Source organism: Homo sapiens, chromosome 1, assembly GCF_000001405.40.
Source record: "Homo sapiens chromosome 1, GRCh38.p14 Primary Assembly".
NCBI classification, from domain to species: domain Eukaryota; kingdom Metazoa; phylum Chordata; class Mammalia; order Primates; family Hominidae; genus Homo; species Homo sapiens.
In genome coordinates this window covers 155,624,146-155,646,778 of record NC_000001.11, presented here as the reverse complement: position 1 = coordinate 155,646,778, position 22,633 = coordinate 155,624,146, and the positions used below count along the sequence as shown (strand labels likewise).

The 22,633-nt window shown below is 43.8% G+C and overlaps 1 pseudogene, besides 3 other annotated features; it reads left to right on the top strand.

The window, feature by feature from the left end:
- Positions 100-22,633, top strand: part of LOC100419798 (gon-4 like pseudogene) — a 31,110-nt pseudogene continuing 8,576 nt past the window's right edge.
- Positions 9,339-10,098: an enhancer, noted in NCBI's record as "H3K27ac-H3K4me1 hESC enhancer chr1:155606472-155607231 (GRCh37/hg19 assembly coordinates)". NCBI's record gives its function as "activates a minimal SCP1, AML or CMV promoter by ChIP-STARR-seq in primed H9 embryonic stem cells {active_cell/tissue: H9 hESC(primed)}" and the evidence as "EXISTENCE:reporter gene assay evidence [ECO:0000049][PMID:30033119]".
- Positions 10,099-10,859: an enhancer, noted in NCBI's record as "NANOG-H3K27ac-H3K4me1 hESC enhancer chr1:155605711-155606471 (GRCh37/hg19 assembly coordinates)". NCBI's record gives its function as "activates a minimal SCP1, AML or CMV promoter by ChIP-STARR-seq in naive H9 embryonic stem cells {active_cell/tissue: H9 hESC(naive)}" and the evidence as "EXISTENCE:reporter gene assay evidence [ECO:0000049][PMID:30033119]".
- Positions 10,860-11,619: an enhancer, noted in NCBI's record as "NANOG-H3K27ac hESC enhancer chr1:155604951-155605710 (GRCh37/hg19 assembly coordinates)". NCBI's record gives its function as "activates a minimal SCP1, AML or CMV promoter by ChIP-STARR-seq in primed H9 embryonic stem cells {active_cell/tissue: H9 hESC(primed)}" and the evidence as "EXISTENCE:reporter gene assay evidence [ECO:0000049][PMID:30033119]".

Below are 22,633 nucleotides of genomic sequence, written 5' to 3'. Positions count from 1 at the left end.
TCCATAATATTGAATAGGATTTGGCTGGGGTGGTGCATGTGGTGGAATGGGAAGAGCACGGGTTGCAGGGACAGAGAAACAATCCTTTTCATGTGTGCTACAAGGAGAGAGCATCAAAGCTGCTGGAAAAGGCCGAAACAATCATAGAGCTTGCAACAAGTGGGGAAGTTGGGGTCTGGCCAGCAAGGACACCTCCAAGCTGCTGTTGCTGTATGATGAGGACATTCTTGAGCAAGACCCCCTCAGGGAGCAGAAGGACTTGGCTTTTGCCCAAGTTTATCTGACCAGGATAGGCAAATGTTGCTTCCTGTTACTGCCAGTTTCTATGAATGTGGCTGCTTCTCCTTCAAGGGACATGTTTTAAAAAATAAAGTCTGTTTTTCAGGCTACACAAACAGCCTTTGTACGCCTCTGCTTTAATTTTTCTGGCAAAAGATCTCTGTGAGAGAACCACAGGAGAATTAGAGTTCAATCATAAGTATGTTTATTGTTAGTACCCACCACTGAGAGGAGTTGGCTAGCTTGCCTCAGGTAAACAGCAAGGGAAGGGTCCCCTGAGAGCCTCCAACCCATAGGTTAAGTGCCTCATCTTCACATAACATAAAAAGCAGTCTGGGAAAAAAAAATCAAACTGCAGGCACTAATAAGGGAACTAGCACAGGGGGTTGTATCTGGAGACATGCCCGCAACTGCACAGACAGGAGAAACTCCAGCCCACCTACAAAAACTTGCACTAACCTCTCGCTCACTCAGATAAGCGAACAAGGCCAGACATAGAAATGACTTTCCTTTGTATAATCAGTGGGCTCCCAGGAAAATGTTTCTCCTTTTGTGGGCACGAACACAGTGGGCTTTGATGGGTTCTGATGGGCACTTTCCTTTCAATTTTGGACTGTAAGCCTGACGTCTATGAATCATCTCTTCAGGTCCTGATTGGTCCCAGGCCAAGGTCCCGGGCCAAGCTTTCACTTCAGCTCCTGAAAGGTCCTGGGCCAAGCTGAGTAGCTCCTATAAATCTTCACTTCAGCTCCTGACTGGTCCTGGGCTAAGCTAAATCATGCTTTCTCTAAGACAGCCAACAGACTAAGCACATTATTTCCCCTTCGTAGTCCATAAAAACCCCAGACACCAGCCTCATAGTGGGCAACACATTCGAGCCCCCCTCTCCACTGCAGAGAGCTTTCTTCTTCAACTTATTAAACTTTTGCTCCAACCTCACCCGTGTTACCATGCTCCTTTATGTTCTTGAACATGAGATGAATAACTCCAAGTATTATCTCAGACAACGAGAGACTGCTACATCTTGGTGCACTGGCGAGACTACAACATATTCTGGTGCATTGGCTGGGAAGATAGGGATTAATCAGAAGGGTGAATAGGAGTGGACCTTTAACTCTTTACTTTCTGAGGCTTCTTGTCCTCAGTTTTGTCTCTCAAAAGCAAACAGAACACTGGCTTCCTGTCAGCCATTTTAAAACAGTTAGCATGCCTGCCAGCCTTAAGATTTAGCAGACAGGCTTGCTGGAGAGGACTTTGGCAATCCCCATTTGCCCTTGGGTGTTGGGAATTTTGGCTCTGTTCCAATTCAGTTTCCTTTCACAGAGGGCCTAGCCATCATGTGGGATTGGAAGGAGGTCCTAGGGCAACTAAAGGTTCCTGGCTGAGGCTACAGCTCGGTTTACCTGAAGGCCCTTGACCTAAATCTGGTCCCTGACAGCCTGTCAGGGCATCAGCACAAGGTCTTCCAGTCTTTTTCTATTGCATTATTTTCCTCCTTTCTTTTCATGGCTATCATGTCTCCTATCCCTTCTTTGTTTTTGTTTTTGTTTTGAGACAGAGTTTCACTCTTTCACCCAGGCTGGAGTGAAGTGGCACAATCACGGCTCACTGCAACCTCCACCTACTGGGTTCAAGCGATTCTCCTGCCTCAGCCTCCTGAGTAGCTGGGATTACAGGTATGCACCACCAGGCCTGGTTAATTTTTTTTTCTTTTGACACAGAGTTTTGCTCTTGTCGCCCAGGCTGGAGTGCAATGGCGTAATCTCGGCTCACCACAACCTCCACCTCCTGGATTCAGGTGATTCTCCTGCCTCAGCCTCCAAAGTAGCTGGGATTTCAGGCATGCTCCACCATGCCTGGCTAATTTTGTATTTTTAGTAGAGACAGGGTTTCTCCAAGTTGGTCAGGCTGGTCTCAAACTCCCAACCTCGGGTGATCAGCCAACCTCAGTCCCCCAAAGTGCTGGGATTATAGGCATGAGCCACCATGCCCGGTCAATTTTTGTATTTTGAGTAGAGACAGGGTTTCACCACGTTGGTCAGGCTGGTCTAGAACTCCTGACTTCAGGTGATCCACCCACCTCAGCCTCCCAAAGTGCTAGGATTACAGATGTGAGCCACTGTGCCCAGCCATCCTATCCCTTCTTTGTATGCAATGTTGCGGGTGTTTCTACAGCCTAGGACTACAATCTTGCTGGATAGAGTCAGTCAGTGCCTTAGGAATTAGGACTGTAATTCAATGAATTGTCTCTGTGGTTTCCTTGAAATAGGGGTATTCCAAGACCTGGATCTGAACACCTATTTATCTCCCAATGATAGCACTCAGTGGGACTGGATGGGGGTTATTTCTCCCCAAGAAACTATCCCCCACTTCATTAGGTTGTTTCTTCACCCATGTGAGAAGCCAGCACTGTCCAGGAGAACTAGACTGCCTTTCTATAAAACAAGTTAATTTTCTTCTGCTGGGAGGCATACTGTGGGGACAGCCAGGCAAACCCCAAACCTCTCTTTCTAACTGTTGTCGGAAAGAATTTGGAGTCAGTTTTTACCTAGCATTTCTAATCCTACAGTGCCACGTAGTGGAATGGGATTTTTCTTTGTGGGGAGCCTTGTTAACTCTTTGTCCGAAACTTACAGTTCCTCAATTATTTTCCCTCTTATGTCCCATTATCAGTGATCAGGCCCCATGCCCTATTTGTAGACAAGAAAACTACACTTCCAGCACCCAGGAGGAAGCCATCCTGGCAAGACAGAATTAGCCTCAATATTGTCCCCCCAAAGGAAGGACAGCATTCAATCCTTACATTATTTTGAGGCACCTGTTCTGCATCCAACAACACTGGGATGGGATTTAAACAAAAAGGGATTTTATGTTTGGAAGTCAACCTGTCCCATTCTCTGGGATTCTGATGTTTCTCTGGGGCCATAGCAAGGGAAGCCAGAGGCAGTATTGGGACACATTCTCCATTATGGAGACTCTGAGGTACCTTGGGAGCCTTTTGGGCTGAGTTGGTCTAGGAAACCAACAGGGTGGAAAGCTAGGGCCTTCTGCAGGTGAGCATGAATAGTTATGCTGACTAGCTCCTCTGGGTGTGTGGATGAAGGTCATGCTTGCATTCATGGGTAGCATCTATGACGATAGCCGAGACCTAGAGGATGTGGAGGAAGGAGGAGAAGGAGGACCCCATGCCTCTCTTTCCCTCGACCCTTGGTCACACCAAAAGCAGGAAAGGGAGTGAGGGGTGCCTTATATCCCTTCTCTTTCTAGATGGGTAACAAACTGTTGCAGGAAGTCAGGGACCCCAACAGAGGGACTGTCTGGAGTGGTGGCAGAGGAACATAAATTGTGAAGATTTCATGGGCATTTATCACTTCCCTAATAAAACTTTCATAATTTCTTATGCCTGTCTTTATTTTAATCTCTTAATCCTGTTATCTTCGTAAGCTGAGGATGTACGTCACCTCAGGACCACTGTGATGATTGCGTTAACTGTACAAATTGATTTTAAAACGTGTGTTTGAACAATATGAAATCAGTGCACCTTGAAAAAGAACAGAATAACAGCGATTTTAGGGAACAAGGGAAGACAACCATAAGGTCTGACTGCCTGCAGGGTCGGGCAGAATAGAGCCATATTTTTCTTCTTGCAGAGAGCCTATAAACGGAAGTGCAAGTAGGGAAGATATTGCTAAATTCTTTTCCCAGCAAGGAATGTTAATAATTAATATCCTGGGGAAGGAATGCATTCCTGGGGGGAGGTCTATAAACGGCTGCTTTGGGAGTGTCTGTCTTACGCGGTTGAGATAATGACTGAAATACACCCTGGTCTCCTGCAGTACCTTCAGGCTTATTAGGATGGGGAAAAAACCACTCCCTGATAAATTTGAGGTCAGACTGGTCCTCTGCTTTCGAACCCTTTTTTCTGTAGTTAAAGATGTTTATCAAGACAATACGTGCACAGCTGAACATAGACCCTTATCAGGAGTTTTTGATTTTGCCCTTTGCCTTGTGATCTTTATTGGCCTCAGAAGCATGTGATCTTTGTTCTCCTTTTTCCTTTTTGCCCTTTGAAGCATGTGATCTTTGTGATCTACTCCCTGTTTGTACACCCCCTCCCCTTTTGAAGTCCTTAATAAAAACCTGCTGGTTTTTGCGCTCAGGTGGACATCGCTGTCCTACAGAAATGTTATGTCACCCCCAGAGGCCCAGCTGTAAAATTCCTCTGTTTGTACTCTTTCTCTTTATTTCTCAGCTGGCTGACACTTATGGAAAATAGAAAGAACCTACGTTGAAATATTGGCGGTGGGTTCCCCCGATAACAAACCATCTGAAGTCTGCACTCTCCTCAAGTGCATTCTGAAACACTGGAACTCCTTTGATTGTGAGACTCTGAAGAAAAAACAGCTTATATTCTATTGCACAAGGGCAAGGCCCTCTTACAGACAGGAGGTCTAACCTCCTCAGGGAAGCATTAATTTCAATACTATCCAACAACTAGATCTTATTTTTCCCAGTGAGACAACCCCCATCTTTGTAAGTGTTGTAAAATTAACCCTTCCCTCTTGGCAGTCATATCAGGCAAGTCTACAGAATATAATTCCCCAAAGTCAGAGAGGCAAACCCTTGAGGAACCCTCTAATGCAACTTCTCAGTGCCCTAACTGCCTCCTGTATCCAGGGCCCCCAATAGCCATATCATCAGCCCCTCCAGCTATGCTACCCAAAAAGCTGCCAACTTCGCTGTTGCCTTTGCAGGAAATGCTGAATGGACATGGTGCTACTAGGTTTCAAGTTCCCTTCTCATTGCAGGACCTTAGACAAATAAAGGGATAGCTAGGCAAGTTCTCTGATGACCTTCATAGATATATAGAGGCTTTCTAAAATCTAATCCAAGTGTTTGATCTTACATGGGGAGATGCTATGCTACTTTTATGCCAAACCCTAACTGTTGCAGAGAAACAAGAAGCCCTACAGACAGCAGGGATATTCAGAGATGAACAGCATGTCTCCTATAACCAGTCAAAAGAAAAACCCAGTCAAAAGGGGAAACATGGTAAAAAAGAGACAGAATCCCCTTTCCCAACAGGAAGAGAAACTATGCCCCTTAAAAACCCTAATTGGGGCTGGGCGTGGTGGCTCACACCTGTAATTTCAGCACTTTGGGAGGCCGAGGCGGGTGGATCGCCTGAAGTTGAGAGTTTGAGACCAGCCTGACCAACATGGAGAGACCCCGTCTCTACTAAAAATACAAAATTAGCTGGGCATGGTGGCGCATGCCTGTAATCCCAGCTACTCGGGAGGCTGAGGCAGGAGAATCACTTGAACCCAGAAGATGGAGGTTGCGGTGAGCCGAGATTGGGCCATTGCACTCCAGCCTGGGTAACAAGAGCAAAACTCCGAAAAAGAAAAAAACCTCTAATTGGAGTCCTGGTGATCCCATAGACAAGTGGAAAAGAAAACACTTTCTGATGTGCATATTAAAAGGCTTGCAAAGAATCAGAACCAAAACTCTTAATTACTGTAAACTGTCCTTGTTGAATCAGAAACCAAATGAAAATCTCTCAGCCTTTTTGGAAAGGCTGAAAAAAGCTTTAGTGAAACACACCTCCCTGTCTCTCAATTCAATAAAGAACAGGTTCATTACTCAGGCAGCACCTGATAGCAGACGCAAGTTGCTGAAACAGGCCCTGTCCAAAGATCATTCTAGTTTTTGTCACCCTCAAGTTGAAACTTTGTAGTATGTAAAGACACTCTCCTCTGTGCCCCAACCAAGGAGGTCTCAGGAAGGTACTAAGGCTCTCTTCAATTTCATAGCTGAAAGGGAATATAGGGTCTCAAAATCTAAAGCTCAGCTTTGTCAAACTTCAGTAAAGTATCTGGGTCTGGTCTTATCAGAAGGGAACAGAGCACCAGGTAAGGAAAGGATTAAGCCCATTTCCTTTAACAGTTAAGGGTATTCTTAGGCATTACTGGATTTTGCAGACTGTGAGTGCCTGGGTATGGTGAAATAGCTTGCCCTTTATACCACCTCACAAAAGAAACTCAAGCAGCTAAAACTCACTCCCTAACTTGGGAACCTAAAACTCAAAAGCCTTTAACCAGTTAAAGCAAGCTTTATTTAATACACCATCCATCCCTCAGTCTTCCCATAGGGAGGGCATTTAGTTTCTATGTATCACAAAGGAAGGGAATGGCCCTGGGAGTTTTTTTGTTTTTGTTTTTTTGTGTGTGTGTCTTTTTTTTTTTTTTTTTTTTTTTTTTGAGACATAGTCTCGCTCTGTCGTCCAGGCTGGAGTGCAGTGGCACGATCTCGGCTCAATGCAAGCTCCACCTCCTGGGTTCACGCCATTCTCCTGCCTCAGCCTCCCGAGTAGCCAGGACAACAGGCACCCGCCACCATGCCCAGCTAATTTTTTGTATTTTTAGTAGAGACGGGGTTTCACTGTGTTAGCCAGGATGGTCTCGATCTCCTGACCTTGTGATCCACCCGCTTTGGCCTTCCAAAGTGCTGGGATTACAGGAGTGAGCCACCATGCCTGGCTGGCCCTGGGAGTTTTAACTAAGGCTAAAGGTCCAACTCAACAGCCAGTAGGTTACCTAAGCAAGGAACTTCGCCTCGTGGCTAAAGGATGGCCAGCCTGCCTCCAAGCAGTTGCAGCAGTGGCTTTGCTGGTGGCAGAAACCACTGGGTTAAACATGGGGAATAACTTAACTGTTTGCACCCCACACAGTATAGCAGGACTGCTGTCCTCTAAGGGAAGTCTCTGGCTAACAGAAAAATCGCCTCATCAAAAATCAAGCTTTGCTGCTAGAGGAATCTGCAGTCCAGTTGAAAACCTGCCCTTGCCTAAACCCAGCCACTTTCTCCCAGAGGAAATTGGGGAACCTGAACATGATTGTGAACAGGTAGTGGTACAAACCAGTAAAAGAAATGATAAGGATCACTGTTTATATTCTCTGTAAAGTTTTGATTAATGAAAAACAATTTTCATGAAGAGCACTTGGCTTAATTGAAACTGAGTATCCAACCTATAGGTATATTCAAGAGGCCTTTATGTTTTTCCCTCCATAAATCTTGTTTTTCTGGAAAAGGCTTTTTTTCTCTGGCAACTGAATTACTTTTTCCCACTCTGTCTTGCCATTCTTGGTGCATGGATGAAAGGCCCTAGGATGACTTCTGGTGGCCTGGGACTCCTTGGGAAAACAGACAAGATGCCAGAAATCCCATTTAGGAAAAAAATCTGTTTTCCACATGGAATCCCTGGAATCCCTTTTAAAATCTGTTTTTGTCTTCCAACTGTGCATGTTTATTAGGCTCCAAAAACTACATGCTTTTCTGGCCCTATTCCTAAATAGCTCCATCCTGAGCTGCTGGATCTTCTTCTATCTATATAGTCCTATATGGGTTATGTGTGTGATGTCTGTTAAAAAAGACCTCTAATTAATTGACTTGAAGGGTAAGTGCTTGGATTAAATATTTTTTAAAGGGATAATGAAGGTTGTGGTACCTTTCAGTTCATGTGACTTTAATTTTTGAAAAATAAAAACAGCCTTAAAAATTATTGGTAAAGTGTAGATGTCTTCAAGATGTAAATATATGGTCTAAATTATGCAGGTCAGATACTAGGTTTGCTGAATGTTTTAAGGTTGTAAACTTCTTCTTTGGCCTTTAAACTTGCCTGCTTCACAATTGGTAAGACCTGGGGACATATGGAAGTAACCATTCCCCTAACTATGCTGGAAGGAGTCAGACTTTATCTGCACCTAGCACATAATTAAAACAACTTTACCAGGTTTTACATTGAAGTTGAAAATTGCTAAGAGTTACTGTTATAACATGTAATTTAGACTACTGAAAATAGATTTACATGCAAGGTGTGCAAGAACAGTAAAGTATCTTTTTAGTCAAAGATTATAAGAAGGCATGGAAATGCACATTTTGCCTAGGGATACAGGATTGTCTTAAATTAGATAAAATAAAACAAAAAGTTTAAGCAAATGTGGAAAGACTGTAAAAATTAATCTTCCAAAAGGAAACTGTGAACATATTGACTAAATTCAAAAGGGTTTTTCTGAAAATGGAGCACTGAAATAAAAGCACATGGCCAGGCATGGTGGCTCACGCCTGTAATCCCAGCACTTTGGGAGGTCAAGGAGGGTGGATCACCTGAGGTTGGGAGTTCAAGAGCAGCCTGACCAACATGGAGAAACCCCATCTCTACTAAAAATACAAAAAATTAGCTGGGCGTCATTGCACATGCCTGTAATCCCAGCTACTTGGGAGGCTGAGGCAGGAGAATCGCTTTAACCCTGGAGGCAGAGGTTGTGGTCAGCCTAGATCACGCCATTGCACTCCAGCCTGGGCAGCAAGAGTGAAACTCCATCTCAAAAAAAAAAAAAAAAGAAAAAAAGAAAAGCACAACAAGGTTTTCTTAAGATGCTACTCCTCTTTAGCAAGATTTGTAAACGGTTATGAAAGGTTCATAAAAATCTCACCTCATGGTCAAACTGATTAAGATTGAATAGAATTGGGCAACCCTTGGCCGGGTGCAGTGGCTCATGCCTGTAATCCCAGCACTTTGGAAGGCCAAGGCGGGTGGATCACGAGGTCAGGAGATCGAGACCATCCTGGTTAACACAGTGAGACCCCATCTCTACTAAAAATACAAAAAATTAGCCGGGCGTGGTGGCAGGCGCCTGTAATCCCAGCTACTCGGGAGGCTGAGGCTGGAGAATGGCGTGAACCCAGGAGGCGCAGCTTGCAGTGAGCCGAGATTGCGCCACTGCACTCCAGCCTGGGCGACACAGCGAGACTCCATCTCAAAAAAAAAAAGGATTGGGCAACCCTTCTGGGTTCCCTTCCACCATATGGAAGCTTTACTTTCGCTTTCACTTTACTTTCACTTTTGCTTTAATAAATCTTGCCACCGCACACTCTTTGGGTCTGCATGTTTCTCTAATGGAGCTGTAACACTCACCACTGAGGTCCATGGCTTCTTTCCTTGAAGCCTGTGAAACCACGAACCCTTCAATCAAGAAAAGACCTTTGATCAGGAGAAGACTTCTCGTCTCATTTCTGGGGACACATTCAGGATTTCTCCAAAGCAGTGAGTAACATTGAACCCCTCTTGCTTGCTATTCTGTTCTATCTTCTCATTAGAAATTGGAAGAAAACACCAGGCACCTGTCAGCCATTTAAATGTGACAAGCGGCCGGGTGCAGTGGCTCACACCTGTAACTGCAGCACTTTGGGAGGCCAAGGCGGGTGGATCACGAGGTCAGGAGATTGAGATCATCCTGGCTAACACAGTGAAACCCCACCTCTACTAAAAATACAAAAAATATTAGCCAGGCATGGTGGTGGGCACCTGTAGTCCCAGGTACTCGGGAAGCTGAGGCAGGAGATTGGCGGGAACCCAGGAGGCAGAGCTTGCAGTGAGCTGAGATTGCACCACTGCACTCCAGCCTGGGCAACAGAGCAAGACTCCATCTCAAAAAAAAAAAAAAAAGTGACAAGCGCAGCCGCCAGGCTTAAGACACAGGTGTGAGGCTCTCTGGGAAAGGGCTCTCTAACAACCCCCGGCCCTCTGGGCTGGGAGTGTTGGTTTGCCTGGAACCAGGTCCACCTTTCTCTACCTTTCCTGGGAAAAGCTGAGGGCTGGCTAGAGGCGGAAAACTGTCGTCCTGAACTCCCAGCACTGACCCAGTTGAGATCATGGCACAGCGAGAAGCCTCTACACTGCAGCTGCCCATGCGTGCATTTCATGTCTTTTCTGACCCATGCCTCCTGGGTCCTAACGTCCTCAGAGAAGACTTTCTTGAGGTCCTATCCTCTAGGATCTTTCCTAGATCAAGTCTAAGAATCTTTTGGCTAGGAGCCTAAGTCAAGTGGGGAGGTAATCCAAAGACCTTTGCCCATGGTGTCCCCAGGCTTATTCTTATGCAAATGGGTATCAGTATACTTACACGGGACCTGTCCCTCATAACCTGTACCCTAGGTACTATCTGGAACATCAAAAGGCATGTCAGTGGCTGATAGAAGGCCTAAGACATTTTTCCTTTTGTTGCCCTAAACTTACTCCAGATTGTAGAGACTCCTTTAATTACCACCTTTCCTGTCTGGAATCAGCGATTAGAACTGTAGAACTTCTCCACTTGAAGTGGTCATACTTATGGGCCAAAAACAATATAATAGACAATAGGTCCCCTGATTCAAGTCCAAAGGTCAATGAATATTCTTAGGAGGGCAAATAGGGGACAGAAGATTCAGGTATGAAAAGCACAGTTCCAACTTTGGTCCTCCAATTTGCCGCTGCCTTCCCTAAAACTGTTGTGCTATAGTGCCATTTTCAAGGAATTTATCTTGCTGGGACAGCTCCAAGCCCAGAAATATGCTAACTGGTGCCTGGTCTCTAAACTCAAAATACACCCCAAACCTAAGACCCACTTGCAGATGCAAAGGCAATTGTGGGCATGCTGTTAAGGAGCCACTAAAATCCAGCAGCCCAGGACCTCTTTCTTTGTGGCTAAAAAAGGACAGGAAACAAATTCAGGCAAAACTGCTATGTCGGTAAGCACAATTAAATTCATTAAGCAGGGTTCCATGGGTGATTGAGCACCCTGGAAAGTAAAGGACACTAGAACCATAGGGGATGTGTGGGGAAAAGCAAGAGAGATCAGATTGTTACTGTGTCTGTGTAGAAAGAAGTAGACATGGGAGACTCCATTTTGTTATGTGCTAAGAAAAATTCTTCTGCCTTGAGATTCTGTTAATCTATGACCTTACCCCCAACCCCGTGCTCTCTGAAACGTGTGCTGTGTCAACTCAGGGTTGAATGGATTAAGGGCGGTGCAGGATGTGCTTTGTTAAACAGATGCTTGAAGGCAGCATGCTCCTTAAGAGTCATCACCACTCCCTAATCTCAAGTACCCAGGGACACAAAAACTGCGGAAGGCCGCAGGGACCTCTGCCTAGGAAAGCCAGGTATTGTCCAAGGTTTCTCCCCATGTGATAGTCTGAAATATGGCCTCGTGGGAAGGGAAAGACCTGACTGTCCCCCAGCCCGACACCCGTAAAGGGTCTGTGCTGAGGAGGATTAGTATAAGAGGAAGGAATGCCTCTTGCAGTTGAGACAAGAGGAAGGCATCTGTCTCCTGCCTGTCCCTGGGCAATGGAATGTCTCGGTATAAAACCCGATTGTATGCTCCATCTACTGAGATAGGGAAAAACCGCCTTAGGGCTGGAGGTGGGACCTGCGGGCAGCAATACTGCTTTGTAAAGCACTGAGATGTTTATGTGTATGCATATCCAAAAGCACAGCACTTAATCCTTTACATTGTCTATGATGCCAAGACCTTTGTTCACGTGTTTGTCTGCTGACCCTCTCCCCACAATTGTCTTGTGACCCTGACACATCCCCCTCTTTGAGAAACACCCACAGATGATCAATAAATACTAAGGGAACTCAGAGGCTGGCGGGATCCTCCATATGCTGAACGCTGGTTCCCCGGGTCCCCTTATTTCTTTCTCTATACTTTGTCTCTGTGTCTTTTTCTTTTCCAAATCTCTCGTCCCACCTTACGAGAAACACCCACAGGTGTGTAGGGGCAACCCACCCCTACATCTGGTGCCCAACGTGGAGGCTTTTCTCTAGGGTGAAGGTACGCTCGAGCGTGGTCATTGAGGACAAGTCGACGAGAGATCCCGAGTACATCTACAGTCAGCCTTACGGTAAGCTTGTGCGCTCGGAAGAAGCTAGGGTGATAATGGGGCAAACTAAAAGTAAAATTAAAAGTAAATATGCCTCTTATCTCAGCTTTATTAAAATTCTTTTAAAAAGAGGGGGAGTTAAAGTATCTACAAAAAATCTAATCAAGCTATTTCAAATAATAGAACAATTTTGCCCATGGTTTCCAGAACAAGGAACTTTAGATCTAAAAGATTGGAAAAGAATTGGTAAGGAACTAAAACAAGCAGGTAGGAAGGGTAATATCATTCCACTTACAGTATGGAATGATTGGGCCATTATTAAAGCAGCTTTAGAACCATTTCAAACAGAAAAAGATAGCGTTTCAGTTTCTGATGCCCTTGGAAGCTGTATAATAGATTGTAATGAAAACACAAGGAAAAAATCCCAGAAAGAAACGGAAGGTTTACATTGCGAATATGTAGCAGAGCCGGTAATGGCTCAGTCAACGCAAAATGTTGACTATAATCAATTACAGGAGGTGATATATCCTGAAACGTTAAAATTAGAAGGAAAAGGTCCAGAATTAGTGGGGCCATCAGAGTCTAAACCATGAGGCACAAGTCATCTTCCAGCAGGTCAGGTGCCCGTAACATTACAACCTCAAAAGCAGGTTAAAGAAAATAAGACCCAACCGCCAGTAGCCTATCAATACTGGCCTCCGGCTGAACTTCAGTATCGGCCACCCCCAGAAAGTCAGTATGGATATCCAGGAATGCCCCCAGCACCACAGGGCAGGGCGCCATACCCTCAGCCGCCCACTAGGAGACTTAATCCTACGGCACCACCTAGTAGACAGGGTAGTGAATTACATGAAATTATTGATAAATCAAGAAAGGAAGGAGATACTGAGGCATGGCAATTCCCAGTAACGTTAGAACCGATGCCACCTGGAGAAGGAGCCCAAGAGGGAGAGCCTCCCACAGTTGAGGCCAGATACAAGTCTTTTTCGATAAAAATGCTAAAAGATATGAAAGAGGGAGTAAAACAGTATGGACCCAACTCCCCTTATATGAGGACATTATTAGATTCCATTGCTCATGGACATAGACTCATTCCTTATGATTGGGAGATTCTGGCAAAATCGTCTCTCTCACCCTCTCAATTTTTACAATTTAAGACTTGGTGGATTGATGGGGTACAAGAACAGGTCCGAAGAAATAGGGCTGCCAATCCTCCAGTTAACATAGATGCAGATCAACTATTAGGAATAGGTCAAAATTGGAGTACTATTAGTCAACAAGCATTAATGCAAAATGAGGCCATTGAGCAAGTTAGAGCTATCTGCCTTAGAGCCTGGGAAAAAATCCAAGACCCAGGAAGTACCTGCCCCTCATTTAATACAGTAAGACAAGGTTCAAAAGAGCCCTATCCTGATTTTGTGGCAAGGCTCCAAGATGTTGCTCAAAAGTCAATTGCCGATGAAAAAGCCCGTAAGGTCATAGTGGAGTTGATGGCATATGAAAACGCCAATCCTGAGTGTCAATCAGCCATTAAGCCATTAAAAGGAAAGGTTCCTGCAGGATCAGATGTAATCTCAGAATATGTAAAAGCCTGTGATGGAATCGGAGGAGCTATGCATAAAGCTATGCTTATGGCTCAAGCAATAACAGGAGTTGTTTTAGGAGGACAAGTTAGAACATTTGGAGGAAAATGTTATAATTGTGGTCAAATTGGTCACTTAAAAAAGAATTGTCCAGTCTTAAATAAACAGAATATAACTATTCAAGCAACTACAACAGGTAGAGAGCCACCTGACTTATGTCCAAGATGTAAAAAAGGAAAACATTGGGCTAGTCAATGTCGTTCTAAATTTGATAAAAATGGGCAACCATTGTCGGGAAATGAGCAAAGGGGCCAGCCTCAGGCCCCACAACAAACTGGGGCATTCCCAATTCAGCCATTTGTTCCTCAGGGTTTTCAGGAACAACAACCCCCACTGTCCCAAGTGTTTCAGGGAATAAGCCAGTTACCACAATACAACAATTGTCCCCCGCCACAAGCGGCAGTGCAGCAGTAGATTTATATACTATACAAGCAGTCTCTCTGCTTCCAGGGGAGCCCCCACAAAAAATCCCTACAGGGGTATATGGCCCACTGCCTGAGGGGACTGTAGGACTAATCTTGGGAAGATCAAGTCTAAATCTAAAAGGAGTTCAAATTCATACTAGTGTGGTTGATTCAGACTATAAAGGCGAAATTCAGTTGGTTATTAGCTCTTCAATTCCTTGGAGTGCCAGTCCAGGAGACAGGATTGCTCAATTATTACTCCTGCCATATATTAAGGGTGGAAATAGTGAAATAAAAAGAATAGGAGGGCTTGGAAGCACTGATCCAACAGGAAAGGCTGCATATTGGGCAAGTCAGGTCTCAGAGAACAGACCTGTGTGTAAGGCCATTATTCAAGGAAAACAGTTTGAAGGGTTGGTAGACACTGGAGCAGATGTCTCTATCATTGCTTTAAATCAGTGGCCAAAAAATTGGCCTAAACAAAAGGCTGTTACAGGACTTGTCGGCATAGGCACAGCCTCAGAAGTGTATCAAAGTACTGAGATTTTACATTGCTTAGGGCCAGATAATCAAGAAAGTACTGTTCAGCCAATGATTACTTCAATTCCTCTTAATCTGTGGGGTCGAGATTTATTACAACAATGGGGTGCGGAAATCACCATGCCTGCCCCATTATATAGCCCCACGAGTCAAAAAATCATGACCAAGATGGGATATATACCAGGAAAGGGACTAGGGAAAAATGAAGATGGCATTAAAGTTCCAGTTGAGGCTAAAATAAATCAAGAAAGAGAAGGAATAGGTTATCCTTTTTAGGGGCGGCCACTGTAGAGCCTCCTAAACCCATACCACTAACTTGGAAAACAGAAAAACCGGTGTGGGTAAATCAGTGGCCGCTACCAAAACAAAAACTGGAGGCTTTACATTTATTAGCAAATGAACAGTTAGAAAAGGGTCACATTGAGCCTTCGTTCTCACCTTGGAATTCTCCTGTGTTTGTAATTCAGAAGAAATCAGGCAAATGGCGTATGTTAACTGACTTAAGGGCTGTAAACGCCGTAATTCAACCCATGGGGCCTCTCCAACCTGGGTTGCCCTCTCCAGCCATGATCCCAAAAGATTGGCCTTTAATTATAATTGATCTAAAGGATTGCTTTTTTACCATCCCTCTGGCAGAGCAGGATTGCGAAAAATTTGCCTTTACTATACCAGCCATAAATAATAAAGAACCAGCCACCAGGTTTCAGTGGAAAGTGTTACCTCAGGGAATGCTTAATAGTCCAACTATTTGTCAGACTTTTGTAGGTCGAGCTCTTCAACCAGTTAGAGAAAAGTTTTCAGACTGTTATATTATTCATTATATTGATGATATTTTATGTGCTGCAGAAACGAGAGATAAATTAATTGACTGTTATACATTTCTGCAAGCAGAGGTTGCCAATGCTGGACTGGCAATAGCATCTGATAAGATCCAAACCTCTACTCCTTTTCATTATTTAGGGATGCAGATAGAAAATAGAAAAATTAAGCAACAAAAAATAGAAATAAGAAAAGACACATTAAAAACACTAAATGATTTTCAAAAATTACTAGGAGATATTAATTGGATTCGGCCAACTCTAGGCATTCCTACTTATGCCATGTCAAATTTGTTCTCTATCTTAAGAGGAGACTCAGACTTAAATAGTAAAAGAATATTAACCCCAGAGGCAACAAAAGAAATTAAATTAGTGGAAGAAAAAATTCAGTCAGCGCAAATAAATAGAATAGATCCCTTAGCCCCACTCCAACTTTTGATTTTTGCCACTGCACATTCTCCAACAGGTATCATTATTCAAAATACTGATCTTGTGGAGTGGTCATTCCTTCCTCACAGTACAGTTAAGACTTTTACACTGTACTTGGATCAAATAGCTACATTAATTGGTCAGACAAGATTACGAATAATAAAATTATGTGGAAATGACCCAGACAAAATAGTTGTCCCTTTAACCAAGGAACAAGTTAGACAAGCCTTTATCAATTCTGGTGCATGGCAGATTGGTCTTGCTAATTTTGTGGGAATTATTGATAATCATTACCCAAAAACAAAGATCTTCCAGTTCTTAAAACTGACTACTTGGATTCTACCTAAAATTACCAGACGTGAACCTTTAGAAAATGCTCTAACAGTATTTACTGATGGTTCCAGCAATGGAAAAGCAGCTTACACAGGACCGAAAGAACGAGTAATCAAAACTCCATATCAATCGGCTCAAAGAGCAGAGTTGGTTGCAGTCATTACAGTGTTACAAGATTTTGACCAACCTATCAATATTATATCAGATTCTGCATATGTAGTACAGGCTACAAGGGATGTTGAGACAGCTCTAATTAAATATAGCATGGATGATCAGTTAAACCAGCTATTCAATTTATTACAACAAACTGTAAGAAAAAGAAATTTCCCATTTTATATTACTCATATTCGAGCACACACTAATTTACCAGGGCCTTTGACTAAAGCAAATGAACAAGCTGACTTACTGGTATCATCTGCACTCATAAAAGCACAAGAACTTCATGCTTTGACTCATGTAAATGCAGCAGGATTAAAAAACAAATTTGATGTCACATGGAAACAGGCAAAAGATATTGTACAACATTGCACCCAGTGTCAAATCTTACACCTGCCCACTCAAGAGGCAGGAGTTAATCCCAGAGGTCTGTGTCCTAATGCATTATGGCAAATGGATGTCACGCATGTACCTTCATTTGGAAGATTATCATATGTTCACGTAACAGTTGATACTTATTCACATTTCATATGGGCAACTTGCCAAACAGGAGAAAGTACTTCCCATGTTAAAAAACATTTATTGTCTTGTTTTGCTGTAATGGGAGTTCCAGAAAAAATCAAAACTGACAATGGACCAGGATATTGTAGTAAAGCTTTCCAAAAATTCTTAAGTCAGTGGAAAATTTCACATACAACAGGAATTCCTTATAATTCCCAAGGACAGGCCATAGTTGAAAGAACTAATAGAACACTCAAAACTCAATTAGTTAAACAAAAAGAAGGGGGAGACAGTAAGGAGTGTACCACTCCTCAGATGCAACTTAATCTAGCACTCTATACTTTAAATTTTTTAAACATTTATAGAAATCAGACTACTACTTCTGCAGAACAACATCTTACTGGTAAAAAGAACAGCCCACATGAAGGAAAACTAATTTGGTGGAAAGATAATAAAAATAAGACATGGGAAATAGGGAAGGTGATAACGTGGGGGAGAGGTTTTGCTTGTGTTTCACCAGGAGAAAATCAGCTTCCTGTTTGGATACCCACTAGACATTTGAAGTTCTACAATGAACCCATTGGAGATGCAAAGAAAAGGGCCTCCACGGAGATGGTAACACCAGTCACATGGATGGATAATCCTATAGAAATATATGTTAATGATAGTGTATGGGTACCTGGCCCCATAGATGATCGCTGCCCTGCCAAACCTGAGGAAGAAGGGATGATGATAAATATTTCCATTGGGTATCGTTATCCTCCTATTTGCCTAGGGAGAGCACCAGGATGTTTAATGCCTGCAGTCCAAAATTGGTTGGTAGAAGTACCTACTGTCAGTCCCATCAGTAGATTCACTTATCACATGGTAAGCGGGATGTCACTCAGGCCACGGGTAAATTATTTACAAGACTTTTCTTATCAAAGATCATTAAAATTTAGACCTAAAGGGAAACCTTGCCCCAAGGAAATTCCCAAAGAATCAAAAAATACAGAAGTTTTAGTTTGGGAAGAATGTGTGGCCAATAGTGCGGTGATATTACAAAACAATGAATTTGGAACTATTATAGATTGGGCACCTCGAGGTCAATTCTACCACAATTGCTCAGGACAAACTCAGTCGTGTCCAAGTGCACAAGTGAGTCCAGCTGTTGATAGCGACTTAACAGAAAGTTTAGACAAACATAAGCATAAAAAATTGCAGTCTTTCTACCCTTGGGAATGGGGAGAAAAAGGAATCTCTACCCCAAGACCAAAAATAGTAAGTCCTGTTTCTGGTCCTGAACATCCAGAATTATGGAGGCTTACTGTGGCCTCACACCACATTAGAATTTGGTCTGGAAATCAAACTTTAGAAACAAGAGATTGTAAGCCATTTTATACTATCGACCTAAATTCCAGTCTAACAGTTCCTTTACAAAGTTGCGTAAAGCCCCCTTATATGCTAGTTGTAGGAAATATAGTTATTAAACCAGACTCCCAGACTATAACCTGTGAAAATTGTAGATTGCTTACTTGCATTGATTCAACTTTTAATTGGCAACACCGTATTCTGCTGGTGAGAGCAAGAGAGGGCGTGTGGATCCCTGTGTCCATGGACCGACCATGGGAGGCCTCACCATCCGTCCATATTTTGACTGAAGTATTAAAAGGTGTTTTAAATAGATCCAAAAGATTCATTTTTACTTTAATTGCAGTGATTATGGGATTAATTGCAGTCACAGCTACGGCTGCTGTAGCAGGAGTTGCATTGCACTCTTCTGTTCAGTCAGTAAACTTTGTTAATGATTGGCAAAAGAATTCTACAAGATTGTGGAATTCACAATCTAGTATTGATCAAAAATTGGCAAATCAAATTAATGATCTTAGACAAACTGTCATTTGGATGGGAGACAGACTCATGAGCTTAGAACATCGTTTCCAGTTACAATGTGACTGGAATACGTCAGATTTTTGTATTACACCCCAAATTTATAATGAGTCTGAGCATCACTGGGACATGGTTAGACGCCATCTACAGGGAAGAGAAGATAATCTCACTTTAGACATTTCCAAATTAAAAGAACAAATTTTCGAAGCATCAAAAGCCCATTTAAATTTGGTGCCAGGAACTGAGGCAATTGCAGGAGTTGCTGATGGCCTCGCAAATCTTAACCCTGTCACTTGGGTTAAGACCATTGGAAGTACTACGATTATAAATCTCATATTAATCCTTGTGTGCCTGTTTTGTCTGTTGTTAGTCTGCAGGTGTACCCAACAGCTCCGAAGAGACAGCGACCATCGAGAACGGGCCATGATGACGATGGCGGTTTTGTCGAAAAGAAAAGGGGGAAATGTGGGGAAAAGCAAGAGAGATCAGATTGTTACTGTGTCTGTGTAGAAAGAAGTAGACATGGGAGACTCCATTTTGTTATGTGTTAAGAAAAATTCTTCTGCCTTGAGATTCTGTTAATCTATGACCTTACCCCCAACCCCGTGCTCTCTGAAACGTGTGCTGTGTCAACTCAGGGTTGAATGGATTAAGGGCGGTGCAGGATGTGCTTTGTTAAACAGATGCTTGAAGGCAGCATGCTCCTTAAGAGTCATCACCACTCCCTAATCTCAAGTACCCAGGGACACAAAAACTGCGGAAGGCCGCAGGGACCTCTGCCTAGGAAAGCCAGGTATTGTCCAAGGTTTCTCCCCATGTGATAGTCTGAAATATGGCCTCGTGGGAAGGGAAAGACCTGACCGTCCCCCAGCCCGACACCCGTAAAGGGTCTGTGCTGAGGAGGATTAGTATAAGAGGAAGGAATGCCTCTTGCAGTTGAGACAAGAGGAAGGCATCTGTCTCCTGCCTGTCCCTGGGCAATGGAATGTCTCGGTATAAAACCCGATTGTATGCTCCATCTACTGAGATAGGGAAAAACCGCCTTAGGGCTGGAGGTGGGACCTGCGGGCAGCAATACTGCTTTGTAAAGCACTGAGATGTTTATGTGTATGCATATCCAAAAGCACAGCACTTAATCCTTTACATTGTCTATGATGCCAAGACCTTTGTTCACGTGTTTGTCTGCTGACCCTCTCCCCACAATTGTCTTGTGACCCTGACACATCCCCCTCTTTGAGAAACACCCACAGATGATCAATAAATACTAAGGGAACTCAGAGGCTGGCGGGATCCTCCATATGCTGAACGCTGGTTCCCCGGGTCCCCTTATTTCTTTCTCTATACTTTGTCTCTGTGTCTTTTTCTTTTCCAAATCTCTCGTCCCACCTTACGAGAAACACCCACAGGTGTGTAGGGGCAACCCACCCCTACAGGGATGCCCTAGGGCTAGTGCTCACTAGGGGATGACTAGAGGTGCGGGCACTCCTATGTTCTCCTTTCAGATGGGAGACATTCCTTCAAAAGTGAAGCCACTCCTGAGGTGTATTCTGGATAATTGGGACCAATTTGACCCTCAAATGCTGAAGAAGTGACTTATATTTTTATGCAGCACCACCTGGCCACAGTATCCTCTTTCCAGAGGAGAGACATGGCCACCCGAGGGAAGTGTAAACTATAATACCATCCTACAGCTAGATCTCTTTTGTAAACGAGAGGGCAAATGGAGTGAAGTGCCATATCTACAGGTTTTTTTTCTCACTAAGGGATAACCCACAATTATGTAAAAAATGTAATTTACATCCTACCAGGGGTCCTCAAAGCCTATCCCCATACCCAGGTCTCCCCATGGCTCCCCATCCCACTAGTAAGGACTCTCCTTTGGCCTTATCAGCCCAAAAGGAACCAGACAAAAAGATAGTCAAGGAACCAAAAGGCACCAATGGACCTTGATTGTGCCCCCTCCAAGCCGTGGGAGGAGGAGACTTTGGCTCAGCACAAGTACATGTCCCCTTTTCCCTCTCAGGCTTAAAACAGATCAAACTGGACCTAGGAAAATTCTCAGATAACCTGATGGATATGTAGACGTCTTACAGGGATTAGGACAATCTTTTGATTTAGCATGGAGAGATATTCTGTTGTTTTTAGGTCAAACATTAACTCCTAACAAAAAAGAGGCCACCTTAGCTGCGGCCCAGGAGTTTGGGGATCTCTGGTACCTAAGCCAGGTAAATGATAAAACGACATCAGAAGAAAGGGAACAATTCACCACAGGCCAATAGGCAGTTCCCAGTGTGGATCCCCACTGGGACCTCGATTCGGAGCATGGAGACTGGAGTCACAGGCGTTTACTGACTTGTATACTAGAGGGATTAAGAAAGACCAGAAAAAAGCCAATGAATTACTCAATTATGTCCACCATAACACAGGGAAAGGAAGAAAACCCTACGGCATTTTTAGAGAGGCTAAGGGAGGCATTAAGAAAACATACCTCTTTGTCACCTGACTCTATTGAAGGCCAGCTAATTTTAAAGGATAAGTTTATCACTCAGTCAGCTGCAGACATTAGAAAAAAACTTCAAAAGTCTGCCCTGGGCTCCGAGCAAAATTTGGAAACTCTATTAAATTTGGCAAATTTGTTGTTTTATAATAGGGATCAGGAGGAGCAGGCTGAACGAGACAGACGAGACAAGAAAAAGGCTGCCACCTTAGTCATGGCTCTCAGGCAGACGAGCTTCAGTGGCTCTGAAAGAAAGAAAGGCTGGGCAGGCAACCCACCTAACCGGGCTTGTTATCAGTGTGGCTTACAGGGTCACTTCAAAAAGGACTGCCCAAACAACAATAAGCCACCCCCTTGTCCATGTCCCTTGTGCCAGGGAGATCCCTGGAAGGCACACTGCCCCTTAGGGTGAAGGTCCTCTGGGCCAGAGGCCACTAACCAGATGGTCCAACAAGACTGAGGGTGCCCAGGGCAGGCACCAGCCCAATGCCATCACCATCACAGAGCCCCAGGTAAGCTTAACCAGTGAGGACCAGGAAACTAACTTCCTCCTGGACAATGGCGTGGCCCTGTCAGTTTTACTCTTCTGTCCCAGACAACTATCCTCCAGGTCTTTCACCATCAAAGGGGTCTTAGGACACTCAGTCACTAGGTATTTCTCCCACCCCCTAAATTGTGACTGGGGAACCTTATTATTCTCACATGCCTTTCTTATTATGCCTGAGAGCCCTACTCCTTTACTAGGGAGAGACATATTAGCTAAAGCAGGGGCCATTATATACTTGAATATAGGAGAAGGAATACCTGTTTGCTGCCCTACTCAAGGAGGGAGTTAATCCTGAAGTCTGGGCAGAGGAAGAGCAAGAGCAGTATGGACAAGCAAAAAATGCTTGTCCAGTTCAAGTTAAATTAAAGGATCCTACTTTCTTTCCTTATCAAAGCAGTACCCCCTCTGACCAGAAGCCCAACAAGGGTTACAAAAGATTGTCAAAGACCTACAAGCACAGAGATTAGTAAAGCCATGCAACAGTCCAGGCAACAGTCCTATTCTAGGCATACAAAAACCCAACAGACAGTGGAGGTTAGTGAAAGACCTCTGAATTATCATTGAGGCAGTTGTTCCCCTGTATCCAGTGCCAGGACCAGCTTGGTCAGGGAGACCCTAACCCAGCAGCACTAGAGGAATTAAAGACACACATACAGAATATAGAGGTGTGAAGTGGGAAATCAGGGGTCTCACAGCCTTCAGAGCTGAGAGCCCTGAACAGAGATTTACCCACGTATTTATTAACAGCAAGCCAGTCATCAGCATTGTTTCTACAGATATTAAATTAACTAAAAGTATCCCTTATGGGAAATGAAGGGATGTGCCAAATTAAAGGAATAGGTTGGGCTAGTTAACTGCAGCAGGAGCATGTCCTTAAGGCACAGATCACTCATGCTATTGTTTGTGGC